Source organism: Homo sapiens, chromosome 11 (assembly GCF_000001405.40).
Source record: "Homo sapiens chromosome 11, GRCh38.p14 Primary Assembly".
In the NCBI taxonomy this organism is placed as follows: domain Eukaryota; kingdom Metazoa; phylum Chordata; class Mammalia; order Primates; family Hominidae; genus Homo; species Homo sapiens.
This window is the reverse complement of record NC_000011.10, coordinates 35264914-35278965: the sequence shown is the minus strand read 5'-3', so window position 1 is coordinate 35278965 and position 14052 is coordinate 35264914. Positions and strand designations below refer to the sequence as shown.

Here is a 14052-nt window from a genome sequence, read left to right as displayed (position 1 = left end):
CTCACTGCAACCTCTGCCTCCTGGGTTCAAGCATTTCTCCGGCCTCAGCCTCCTAAGTAGCTGGGACTACAGGCATGTGCCACCACACCCGGCTAATTTTTGTATTTTTAGTAGAGACAGGGTTTCACTATGTTGGTCAGGCTGGTCTCAAACTCCTGACCTCAAGTGATCGGCCCACCTCAGCCTCCCACAGTGCTGAGATTACACGGGTGAGCCACTGTGCCCAGCCTCAGAAGCCACATTTTGTGGACTTGAGTCTGTTTCTGCTTCCCACTCCCACCCTTCCAAAGAGAGGAAAATGCAAGTGGCCGAAGGGAGGAAGGACAGCTGGGAAGGCTAGAAAGAAGCCTGACTTCTCCATAAGATGTGCCTGCTGTTGGTGCAGACAACAGGGCTTAGGTTAGAAATAAGAAGTGCCCAGCACTTTGGGAGGCTGAAGCGGGCAGATCACCTGAGGTCGGGAGTTCAAGACCAGCCTGAACAACATGGAGAAACCCCGTCTCTACCAAAAATGCAAAAATAATTAGCCAGGTGTGGTGGCATATGCCCGTAATCCCAGCTACTTGGGAGGCTAAGGCAGGAGAATCACTTGAACCTGGGAGGCGGAGGTTGCAGTGAGCTGAGATCGTGCCATTGCACTCCAGCCTGGGCAACAAGAGTGAAACTCCATCTAAAAAAAAAAAAAAAAAAAACAAAAAAAAACAGAAGTAAGAAGTGGCTCCCTGAACAGAATCAGTTCAACTTGGGAGGGCTGCAAGGAAGGCCATAGATTTTCCTGATTGGCTCCTTCATCATCAGAAAATGCTCAGGAAATACCTTTAGCGGAAGGTGACAAGCAAACAAAATAGCCTCATCTCTGTCTCTGCCAGTCTCTCAGGTGGTGGTAGTGGCGTCCCTACCTGCTAGCTTGGTTATTCTCTGTGTCCTATATTGGCCCCAAGGGACAGCCTTTCTCATGACATCTGTTCAGACAAGGCAGCTGAGAGTCAATGGTGGTGTATGGGTGAGAAGGATTGTGAGAGAAGGGGATGAAGGATACAAAGGAATGGGGTAGGCCATGGATGGAAGGGGGACAAAAGGGAAATAAAGACATTGGCAGTGGTCTAGAGACAGAGCAAATAGTAGCAGCTCAATAAATGTGAGCTACTCTTAACCACATAGTTGCTGTGTGATAATTGGGTCCATCCACATGAAAAGAAAGACGAAGGAAGCCATTTAAGTTCTGCTGGCTTTCCCCATGACTTGTTGCTTACTTAAACCCTTGACTCTTTGCCTCTCAAGTCTTTTCAATGCTTGTGGTCATTGAGGGTCCCTCGCCTGCTGTGACAATATTGCCTCATTTTTTTCTTGGGCTTATTTCCAAGGCTTTAAACCACCATTAGAAATTCATCTTTTTAAAAAATATTATTATAGAGGCTGCCCCCCATTATAATACAAATGCCTTTGAGTGGAAAAAAATGCACTAATATGATCAGGAGTGAGGAAAAGGGGTGATATTTGGTGGGTACTGCAATGTCTTTACATCTGTCTCCATTTAATCCTTAAGGTGCCCTATGCTGTATTTCCAGATGAGAAAACTGGGAATCAGAAGGGTTGAGTCTTTTGCCTGATGCACAGCAGAGCTTGTATGGCCAGGTCAGGACACTTCACCCAACTCCACACAGCCTCCTAATTTGTACTAAGTGTTCTAACAGTGGGGAGGAGGAGCAGAGAGGCCCAGAGTTGGAACGGTTGGAGAAGACACACTTATTAGGGCCACCCACTGGGCTATGGTTTGAATATTTGTCCAGTCCAAAACTCATGTTGACGTTTAATTGCCATTGTAACAATATTAAGAGGTGTGGCCTTTAAAAGGTGATTATATCGTGAAGGCTCCACCCTCATGAGTGGGGTTGGTGCATTATAAAAGGGTGAATTCAGCCCCTTCTTGCCCTCTCTTTGTCTTTCTGCCTTCTGCTATGTCATGATGCAGAAAGAAGGCCCTTACCAGATACCAGTTTCTTGATCTTGGATTTCCCAACCTCCAGAATTCTGAGGAAATAAATTTCTGTTCTATATAAATTACCCAATCTCAAGTATTTTGCTATAGCAGCACAGACTAAGACACACCTGATTCTGCATGCTAACCAGAGAAATATTTTTGACCTATTTTTTTCTTCTCTCAGCATGAAAATAAAACAAATAGGCTCAATGAGGACAAATGGGGTACAATCAAGGTCTTGGCCACCCTTAGAATTCAAGTCTTCCAGCCCCAGTGGGTCTGCCATTGTAGGTCCTGGTCCTTGGCAGTCACTTGTTTTCAAGCCTGTTGGATGTGAGTCACTTCATGAAACATTCAAAACCCTGCCTACTTCTGACCTAAATGTTAGCAAATGAAACAGGAGGGCTGGGCCCTCCCAGATCACCCCATGCAGGTGCTCACATGCTTACACTTGCAAAGGAAAGCAGAGCGTCCTAACTCCAGGGCTGAAGTGTGTCAGCAGAAGGGAGTTGGCTGAATTTTTTTTTTTTTTTAAAAAGGATGATACATTTGGATTAACTATGTTGATGAAATCATATAATAGAAAACCCCATCCTAGGCTGGAGCTGGGAAGAAAGGAGCAAATGAAGAGCTGTTGTCCAGTTCTGGGGCTCTGATCTCAAATGGAGGGAGGAGTGTGATCAAGGGAAAGAGAGTCTAAGAGGCAGGAGCCCTCAGTCTGAGCTCTGCACTTACTATCTAAAGGACCTTGGGCAAGTGACTTTCTGAGCCTCAGCTACATCATGTGTAAAATGGGGCAATAACATATCAGGTTGGAAGCAAGAGTCTAGGTTCAATGCCTTTGAGTGCCCTTCTAGTTTTAAGACCTAGAGTAGAATTCTGCTGGGGATGAATGTTTGTATACAAATAAGCACGAGCATTCCTTTTAAGAGGAAAAGAAAAAGGAAGGGTAGAGGATCCTGGGAAAATGTGTGTAGCTGTTTGTAGCTAGGTCAGATCTGCTTTGAATTAGTAATGGTGGCACATTCTTTCTCACCAGCAAGAGGAGTTCTGGAAACTAGCTCTTGGTTGTGAGCTCTGTGACTATTGGGTGCTCATTAGTGTGTAAGTGGTGGTGGGGGCTAAGATGAGATGGGGTGCAACTGGCCATTCCCTAGATAAGTAGTCTGTGGAGGAAAAGCAGAGAAAAAGAAAAGGGGGAAACTTCACCTCTTTAGCCAAGGTTTGTAAGCTTTCATAACTCTAGCAATTTTTCAATTTAAAACCAAACAAAGCCTACAGTGACATTTAATGTGTCACAGTGTTTGCCAACTGCTGGAGACCAGCCAGCCTCATTACTGCCCTCTAAGCCCTGGATGGTTTTCAACAGGCAGGCTTAGCTGCTCTGTAAATGTCATGGTGAAAACCAAGATTCTGGAGCCCTGAAAAATGCCGAGTCCCAGAGCACTGGATGGGTGGGACTGTTTAAAACCAGAACCTTCCCCTGGGTCCAGGAAGCCCTTTGCGTCAGGAGCCCTTGGCAGATATTTATAAGAGACCTTGCTGACACCCCAGTGTCTCTGAAGGAGGCAGGATGGAGTGGTAAATGGGAGCCAATACCAGGAAGAGGTAATAAATAACTGTGTCTGGCTACAGGTAGGAAAAGGAAAATCAAAATAAAGTGAAATCCGAGTGGACCTATGGCCTAATTCTCACATAAGACTCTGCTAGTGAGATCTTTTCTGGGCTCACATGTGCTAATTGGGGAATATAGTTGAGACGGCACTTAGAAGGAAGACCTCAAAGAGCCTCCACCCTCCAGGAGGGCTCTGAAGCTCCTCCCAACAGCATTCCTCTCTGGAGAGAATAGAGCATTCATTCTCAAACTCGAGCATGCACCAAAATCTCCCAGAGATATATCTGAGGTGGGGCTGGAGAATTGACATTTCTAGCAAGTTCCCAGGTGATTCTGATGATGCAATCTCCAGGGACTCTCCCTTCCAGAAGCAATGAACTAGAGACGGAGAAGGAAAACAGGAGTTTCTGATTGTGGGTATATGAGCACCTCTACTTTTTTTTGAGTTAACTCTTGACAGTTGATGCATCCTTTCAAAAAAATAGATTGAAAAGATACAGGATGCAAATAGCTAATACTTAGTGAGTGCTCCTTAAGTGTTAGATATTGTTCTAAGCACTTTACATGGGCTCGTTTGAAAGTCACAGCAGATTATGAAGCAACTAATAGTATTATCATTGTTTTACAGTTGAGAAAACAGGTTCAGAGAGAAGTAACTTATCCCAATTTAGTGGATATTAACTGGCTGAATTGGGGTTCAAACCCAGATGATCTAGATATCCTTGGGTGTTCCAAGCATGCTCATCTGAGTTCTGCTGTTTTAAAAATTTGAGACACACACATGCACATGCACACACACACACACACAAACTTAACTAACTGACCCTCCACTCATGGCTGGTGGAAAACAAAACTAATTCCTACGTTAACCTTTTCTTTGAAGATTTTAGGGGCTTATGTCTATCTTAGTCTTTTGCTTTGATTTCCCACTTCCACTGAATTCTCTTTTTTACATCTTATCTCCGGTCTACATCAACCTCCCCATGGAATGTGGCCCCTTTTCCACTAAGTCCTTTCCTCTCTCACCAAAGTTTCTCTGACTTGAGGCAGCATAATTGCAGATCAAGGCGGGATGGGGCAGGGCTATAGTTCTGCGCAGCAAAATCATTTTTTGATATATCACAAAATAAATGCATGTTCATAGCAAAGGGAAGGACAAAGTTCAAAAGAGTAATAAAATGAAAAAGAAGTCGTCTCCCCTTCATCGACTGTTGAATCTCAAGTGTTATTTCACTGTTAATAATTTCAGGTAGCACAGACATAAAATAAAAATGTAATGTTAGGCATCTCCTTTTCTAAAAAATCTTTTAGTATTCCCCACCCCTGGGAATTTCCCCTTGGGACTCCTTGTTCTCCATCTTTGAATATTTCCCCAGCTCTCTGGACACCCCTCTCCTTTTCATCTGTAAAGTAATCTGAGCTCTCTGTGCCTCTCTCCTCATCCTGCTAGATCATGGCCTGCATCCTGACTTTTTACCACGAAAATATCTAACCAGATGTTTTACTAAACAAAAACCAATTGTGTCTCTAGAGCTAATCTGCTTTCAAGTCTTAAATTCACAATCCATCCTGGTCCTGCCCCTTCCACATACCAGCCTCCCCATTCTCCCCTGCCCAGCCTGTGCCATAAGTAAATGAAACATAGTCTCAGTCCTCAAGGAGCTTATAGTCTAGTAATGGGGTCAAGAAATCCCAATGGAGCCTCCTAGGTGCAAAAAGAAATGGATAAGGTGTAGGGAGGAATAAAAGAGAAAATGCTCTGATCCCCTTTTCACCTGGACTAAAAATGGTAATATAATGAGAAGCTTCTTCTGGGTCATATAAGCCTTTTATATAAAACAGCCTTGGTGGAGGACCTCTTGGTTGACAAGCACTCAATACATGTTAGCAGTTATTATCTTCTCAACATGCTTGCAGGTGAGTATCCCTCTCCATATGTTACGAATGAGAAAGCTGAGCAGGACAGGCTAAGAAATCTTTAATGCTTGAGCTGGGAGTGTCATCCAGGCTGGTATCCGGACTTCACGCTCTTAGCCAATGCTTACGTGGATCTCCTTTTCTTCCCTAACCCCATGTGACTTTAGCCCTTGAATGCCCAGAGCTGTGCCAGCCTTCCTCGGGTTTGGGGCCTCAAGTGACCCCTCTTCCACACCCTGCCCCTAAAGACAGTCCCTTCGCACCATGCATCCTGAGAGGCAGGTGCTATGTTTTGTTTCTATCAATATTAAGTTGAACCATATGAAATTGCCAATATTTGACCTTTTTATATGGAAATAAATGGCAATTTCATATGGTTCAATCCAATGCAAGACACCAGATGAATTGTGGGTGACAGCTCCCTCAGCCCTGTTCTTCTCTGTGAACCAGGAGTTCCAGACGATTTCACATTTCCCTGTTGGAGGATTTAGACTGAGAGATGAAGATGAGAGAGAGTACCTTGGTACTTGTTTTTCTTTCAGTGAACCAGACCCAGTGACTCAGTGTGAAGTAACTCGGTCAAGCCCCTCTCTCATTTTTGGTTCCTGGTGACCTCTAAAGCATAGCCGTGTCATCTGTAGAAAACCCATGAAATGCAAGATCTGCTTTCATCTTCATCCCCTTCTTGCAGTCCTGACACACAGCGTCCAGACCCAAAGATGGTGTCACACACTCTAAAAGTTGTCTTTTACCAAGCCTTAAAGCTCTTGAGGGCAACGCGAAAGACAGGGTTTCCTGAGTGGTGAGGGATGATTGTGAGAGAAAATGAAACTCTGCCTGTGAAGAAACTTTCCACACATGAACCACAAACTCCCATGTCCTGCCTTGGGCCCCAGTTAAACTTCCCCAGAGTTGGTCAGACATTCCCCTGGCAGCCTCAAGGGTGTTCTGCCTTGCAGCATTTTCAGAAAGGAAGACCCATGCAGAGCAGCCATGACCTACCTCCTGGCTGGGCATCCTGGGAATCTTCCCAGAATGCCTTGTGGCAGAGAAACCTGGCATGAGAGGGCTCTGTATTCTAGTTTAATCCAAATTGACAGCTTTCTGTTTAACAGATCCCCTTTAACGTCCTGCCTTCTCACTTAGAAACCTATTTTCATAATCTTACCTTTTACTCCTTCCCTTCTGTATTGATGGAATACAGTCCCTCCACCAAAGGAAATGGCCTTTATCTCCACTCTGGACTTCCATCCTCTCTGATCTCTCTAGGAACCTAACTTCATCAATTATTCCCTCTTCTCTGTATCTTCAGTTACTTCTTCCCCACCAACCTCTTCTCATTTTGATTTAAACATGTTCAAATATTCTACCTCTTAAAACAAAACACAAATTTGATCTCCTTTCCATTTCCATCTGCCATTTCCTCTCCTTCCTTTCTCAATCAATCATCTTGAATAAGCTGATTATACATAATGTCTCCATTTCTTCACTTCACTTTCCATTTTTTACCTATAGTGAGCTGGCTTCTATCACTACCTCTGTATTGAAACTGCTCTTGCCAGGCCAATAGTGACCTCTTTGTTGTTAAAACCAAAAGAATCTTCTTTTTTAAGATGGAGTCTCGCTCTGTTGCCCAGGCTGGAGTGCAGTGGCGCTATCATGGCTCACTGCAACCTTCGTCTCTCAGGCCCAAGCGATTCTCCCACCTCAGCCTCCAGAGCAGCTGGGATTACAGGTGCACGACACCACACCCGGCTAATTTTTTGCATTTTTAGTAGAGATGGGGTTTCACCGTGCTGGCCAGGCTGATCTCAAACACCTGACCTCATGATCCACCCACCTCAGCCTCCCAGAGAAACGTCTTACCCTCATCTCACCTGATCCCTAGATAATAATTAGGGTTGTTTGCCATACCCTTATTTTGAAGCATACTTCCATTTACTTACAAAATGACAAACTCTTCTAGTTTCCTTTAACTTTTGCAGGCTCTTATCTTGCCCATTCATTAAAAGTTGGTTGACCTTAGTGTTCCAGCCTAGACTGTCTGCTTTTTACACTCTGCATTCTCTCCAAGGGTTAATTAAGCACCTCGGTGGCATCCTCAGCCTTCTCTATGGGATGAGTCCTATTATCACCTGCATCACAGATGTGTCTCCTGACCATCAGTCTATATTACCAGCCATCTGTGGGGCATCTGCTCATAACTGAGTCACATGCTTCACCCTCAACGTGTCCAAACCAAAGCCAGAATCTTTCCCGCTCCAACTGACCATGCTCCCTACATATGGTTACATTGTCTACTGGTTGCCCAAACCAGAAACCTGAGAGGAATCTTTGACTCTTTTTTATTCCCTATAACCAATCAGTCTTCAAGTCCTATAATTCTGTCTCCTGAGTCTTGCTCAAATCCATCTTTCTCCAAACCCATCATATCCTCACTAACTGGATTTCACTCTTTCAGGCTTATGATTTTTTAGTTCGTTCTTCACAATGGAACAAACATGATCTTTTCTTTCAATGGCTCTTCATTACACTTGAGATAAAGACTAACTCCTGAACTTGGCTGATAAGGCCATACATGATTTGGTTAATTCTTACTTTCTGCGTCTCTCACTATACTTGTTAGCCATCCTGAATTCATCTAAGTGTTCCTACCTCTTAGATTTCATGCATATTATTTCTTTCCTCTCTCTATCTCATTTTCTTGGACTTATCCTTAGGGCCCAACTCAAGACACTTCTACTTAAAGCTTTTCTTATGACCCAAGTGTGATAGTGTTCTACCTACATGACCCTGTAGCACTCTGTACTCATTTCTTTTTGAACATTTATCTCACTCTAGTGGAGGAGGTAGACAAATAAACAGTACGTGGGTTCTTGGGGAAAAGGGAGTTTAAGAAGGATTTTTGCTGCCTAAGCAATTGGCATAGTGCCCTTACACACTCTAAGATGCTTATTAAACATCTGTTGAATAAATAAATTCACTAACAAAGAACTCAAACTATTAGAGTTGATGTTTTCTTCTTTCTACTTAGCTATTAACAGGTGTAAGAAAAGGAACATTTTCTTGCTCATGTATGCCTGTAACCTACAATGAGTACTTAAAGGATGTCTAGTATTTCTCTTATTCCGCTTAGTACAACCTCCTGTGAGGTTGGGATTAGCCTCATTCCCTTGCTCAGGTGAAAAGTTATTTGCTCAAATGGGAATCAGAAGCCCTGGGTTAGTGTTCTCACCCAAGGTCCAGGGCCCTTTGCATCTTGATTTTGCATCAAAAGAATAAAAGCATCAATCTGCTTTTATTGTTTTTTAAAAATTCATTTTAAAATATTCTTTCATTCATTTTTGAGACAGAGTCTTGCTCTATGGCCCAGGCTGGAGTGCAATGGCACAATCTTGACTCACTGCAGCCTCTGCCTACCGGGCTCAAACGATTCTCCTATCTCAGCCTCCCGAGTAGCTGGGATTACAGGCGTGCACCACCACGCCTGGCTAATTTTTGTATTTTTAGTAGAGACTGGGTTTAGTAGAGACCAGGGTGGTCTTGCACTCCTGACCTCAAGTAATCCACCCACCTCAGCCTCCCAAAGTGCTGGGATTGCAGGCGTGAGCCACTGCATCCGGCCAGTCTGCTTTTATTCTATACAACTCTGTCTTCCATCCATTCCTGTCTTAATGGCTATTTCATTGGCCAGAGTTCTTTTTCAAATTCAAGGAGATTTGATGGCATGGAAGAGATGTGGTGGTAAAAAGAAAAAATGTGGGGAAAACTTACTCAGAAATCCTATTCCAAAAACTTGGCTGCTTCAGTGGCTGCTTCTGGAGAGCAAGGATTTGGTGTCAAGGGTTGAAGAAGCAGTCGTTTGTAAACTTATGTCAACCACTTGAGTGGAAATGGATGTGTTAAACTGGAAAAGTCATTAACCCTTTAGCATAATATTTTGTGCTTTTGTTCATAACATGGTGTGTGAGTGGAGTTATCCCCAAAAACGGTAGGACCCAGCACATAATGAGTGTCAACCATAGGCTAGGAACTGAATTTGTCTTCCCCAAATTCTACAAAATATTAATAGTTATTTTGGCTACATGAGAAAAATTATGGTTGAGAAAGTGTCTTAGTCCATTCAGACTGCTATAACAAAATACTATAGACCAGGTAGGTGGCGTATAAACAGCAAAAATTTATTTCTTACAGTTCTGTGGAGGCTTGAAAGTCCAAGATCAAGGCACTGGGAGATTCTGTGTCTGGTGAGGGCCTGCTTCCTCATAGACAGCTATCTTTTCACTCTGCCTCACATGGTAGAAGGGCCAAGGAGTCTCTATTGGGCCTCTTTTCTGAGGTCACTGATCCCATTCATGAAGGCTCCACCCTTGTGACCTAATCACCTCCCAATGGTCCCATCTCCAAATACCATCACCTTGGAGATGATTAGGTTTCGTCATATGAATTTTGGGGGGATGCAAACGTTCAGATCACAGCAGTAAGTCATCCAGATCACACAGTTAGTAGGTGGCTGAGCTAGATTCAAAATCAGGGCTGTGTGGTTCCAGGGTGCTTCTCAACATGTGGCAGATGGTGGATTCTGGAATGGTACCGCCTGTGTTCACATTTGCTGTATGACTTTACTAGGATGTCAGACTTTGGGAAGCCACTAATCTCTCCAGGCCTTAGTTCTGTCATCTAGTAAATACGAATAATATTACCTCTTCAGAGTTACAGTGAGGGTTAATAAGGTAGTATCTATAAAGTATATTCTTTGTTTTCTTTTCTTTCTTTCTTTTTTTTTTTTTGAGGCAGAGTCTTGCTCTTGCCCAGACTGGAGTGTAGTGGCACCATCTCGGCTCACTGCAACCTCTGCCTCCCCAGTTCAAGTGATTCTCCCATCCCAGCCTCCTGAGTATCTGGGATTATAGGTGCACACCACCATGCCCGGCTAATTTTGTATTTTTAGTACTGTATTGTTAACCAGGCTGGTCTCAAATGCCTGACCTCAGGTGATCCGCCCACCTCAGCCTCCCAAAGTGCTGCGATTACAGGCATGAGCCGCCATGCCCAGCCTATAAACTATATTCTTATACATAGTAAGTGTGATATAAATTTAACTGTCATCATCATTATCACTACCACCACCACCATTACCTTTGGTGTCTTTCTTTGCCAATAATGCAAATTATTCTGGGTTATGAGATCAATGGGTACTCAGAGTATTGCTCTGAAAGACCTCAGCATTCTTTGGAATTTTGCAATTGGTCAAAGGTATTGTATATGTAAACTAAAAAGTATCTGAGTCAGGTCTCAATCAATTTAGAAGTTTATTTTTCCAAGGTTAAAGACATGCCCAGAAGAAAAAAACATGGAATCACAGAAACAGTCTGTAGCCTGTACTTTTCTCCAAAGATGATTTTGAGGGCTTCCATATTTAAAGGGGAAATGCAGACTGGAGGGAAAAGAGGGAGAGTCTGGTCACTTTACTGAATCCACATGTTGCCAGGGAAAAGAAGCTGGTAGGGCAATAGACAATTATGTATTTATCTTGTGCTCAGTAAATCAGCACTTTACATAAGATAAGGTGAATATAGAGTAGCTACCTGTGGAGATATTTAACTATTAGCTATCTGCTTAGGAACAGAAGGAGAGGCAGTTTCTTGCATGATTCAACTTTCAGCTTTTTTTTTTTTCCCCATTTGACATAGTAAATTGGGGGCTGGAGATTTTACTTTCCTTTCACAGATATATGACTCAGGATACATTCCAGGAGGGATTGAAAGTATAGTGGAGTAGCTCCAAAGTAGACCACAACTGTATAACGGACAAATAGGTCAGCTAGTTAGTTGGGAGCGTTGCCATAGGAATTGTTGTGCTATTAAATAGGGTTAATGTTTTCAGGGGGAGATAGTAGCTTAACTAGCCATATTTGGATGATCTACCTAGAAGTTGCCACAAATATATTTGAATTGACTTGATACAATTTATAATAATATTAAAATTATACATCATAGAATAAATAATTTTTTTGAGTTCTTATTAAATGTCCGGAAGCATGTAAGCACTTTGTTATCTTATTTAATCTTCACAACAACCTTATGTATTGGAGATTTTTATTATTTTCATTTTATAAACGAGGCAACTAAGGCTCTCAAATGTCAAGTATGATCAGGGTTGTCAAACAGCCAAGGGACAAATTGGCATTTGAATCCAAATCAGGCTGCCTCTAAAGTTCGTGCTTTTTCTTAACTACTATCATGTATTCCTTCCTAAACCCACGTACTGGGGCTTCTTAGCAATTATTCCAAGTGCCCGATTTTGTGGATGACCTCAAGACGCAGTCTTCACTCAGATGTAGACCCGATCACACTGAGGCAGATTCTCCAAAGCAGAAGAGGCGCAAGAGCATTCTCAGATGGAGAGATGCCCCTGAGAGTTAAACTCCAGCTCTGATCATATTTTTTTCCACATTTTCTTCTTAGTTGAAATTAGAAAGACCACCAGCTTATACCTTGCAAACAACTGGCCTTGCAAAGGAGCCAGGCCCGACTTTTCCTAGTGCAGCTTCCTTATTATTCTCTAATAAGAAATAGATTTGATAATAGCAACTAGAATTCATTTAGAGTCTTTGTTCCAAGAACAAATTAAAGTTTCCGCTTTGCCTGGAACTCATATTATTTGAATTGAAAGCTAAAATGTCCTGGACTAAGACTGTCTCAGCAGCATCTTTATGTAAACTCCTTCATTTTAATTTTTTTAACTTTTTTTTGTGGTTTTCCAGCATCCTTCCTTTTAAGACTTTGAATATCTAGTAAACATGGCCAAAAGTATTCTTCACACTGATTTGGCTTGAACTTATGGATGAGAGGAGAAAACTTACTCTTAAGAATTTAATTAGCTTTCCTGGCACTGAATTTCTAAGAGAGTTATCAACCATTCTTTTTTCAAGTCAAAACTTGCAACTCAAGACGGGGAGAAGGATTTTCTTAACATTTCCTGATTCCAGAAACATTCTGGAAGATTTATTTTTTTAGGTTAATAGAGCAAGATAAAGTATTTTGTTTTTTTCAGGACAAGTAGTCATAACACATATTGGTCAATGAGAAAATTATGGCTGGATTTCTTATCTAACAGCTGCGTCTGTGTGTGAGGGAAGCAGGTGCAGGGAGAAAGGAAGGGTTAGTTCCTATTCTTACAAAAAGAATGACTTTTCTACTATGAGAAAGTTCACAGATGGTAAGTTTTTCAGTAAAACAAATAAGTAAGATAAGCAGAGATAGTGTAGAGTCTTCAAAAACACAACAGTTTAAATCAGGAGGGGTTGCTGTACTCAGCTAGGTGTGTCTGGAGCCTGTGTACTAGTTCTGATTTGGACACATTATTTTTCTTTAATCTTTTCTTTCCTCCTCCTCCTTTTCCTTTGCTACTGGTTATTGGTGTTTACCATTTGCCAGACATTTTACTAAGCACTTTACATACGTTATCTCACTGAATTTTCACACGGCCTATGAGAGAAGTATAAGCATCACCTCCAACTGACAAACAAGGAAGTCAAGGCTCATGAAAGTTAAGTAACTTGCCCCAAATCAGGCAGAGGGAAAAGGTAGAGCCAGTACTCAACCCTATGTCTCTCTGACTCCAGACCTTGACCTCTCAACTACCACATAATACTGCTTCCTCACTGAACCTTTTCTGTTCTTTGTCCCCAGGGACAGGATGAGAACTTCAGTCAATGTTGTGGGTGACTCTTTTGGGGCTGGGATAGTCTATCACCTCTCCAAGTCTGAGCTGGATACCATTGACTCCCAGCATCGAGTGCATGAAGATATTGAAATGACCAAGACTCAATCCATTTATGATGACATGAAGAACCACAGGGAAAGCAACTCTAATCAATGTGTCTATGCTGCACACAACTCTGTCATAGTAGATGAATGCAAGGTACATTTCCCATTCATGGATATCGAGACTTGTATATAGTAGTGCATGCTTGATTTCTTTAAAAAAAAAAAAACCGTAAAGCCCTGCATGTATTATTGTCACATTTATTTTCCTAAAGAATCATGTAACCCAAGCTTCTGTGAGTCCCAGATCATCTAATTCTGTGTCTAACATGGCAGGAAATCAACAAGTCTGATGGAGAAAGAGTCAATCAGTTGCTTATTTCGTCCATGTGATGTGAAACAACCATTCGGGTTCCCCTATCTACCCCATTTAACTAATTTGACCAGTTGTCTTGAATATTTCGCCCAAGAATTTGTGGTTACTAGGCCGAGGCGGGCAGATCACGAGGTCAGGAGATCAAGACCATCCTGGCTAACAAGGTGAAACCCTGTCTCTACTAAAAATACAAAAAATTAGCCAGGTGTGGTGGCGGGCGCCCTCCTGCTAGTCAGGAGGCTGAGGTGGGAGAATGGCGTGAACCCGGGAGGCAGAGCTTGCATTGAGCCGAGATTGCGCCACCGCACTCCAGCCTGGGCGACAGAACAAGACTCCATCTCAAAAAAAAAAAAAAAAAAGAATTTGTGGCTACTGATTTTCAAATATTTTATTC

General features: G+C 42.5%; 1 protein-coding gene across 15 annotated transcripts in view, besides 1 other annotated feature; it reads left to right on the top strand.

The window, feature by feature from the left end:
- The window catches only part of SLC1A2 (solute carrier family 1 member 2), a 169303-nt gene that overhangs the window by 141542 nt on the left and 13709 nt on the right, over positions 1 to 14052 (top strand). For all 15 annotated transcript variants that reach the window (XM_047427443.1, NM_001439342.1, NM_001195728.3 and 12 more), the window contains one exon: positions 13208 to 13439. In XM_047427443.1, coding sequence (XP_047283399.1) covers positions 13208 to 13439 — 232 coding nt within the window. The remainder of the gene's footprint in view (positions 1 to 13207; positions 13440 to 14052) is intronic.
- Positions 6171 to 6220: an enhancer, noted in NCBI's record as "active region_4622". NCBI's record gives its function as "activates an Ori minimal core promoter by ATAC-STARR-seq in GM12878 lymphoblastoid cells {active_cell/tissue: GM12878}" and the evidence as "EXISTENCE:reporter gene assay evidence [ECO:0000049][PMID:35858748]".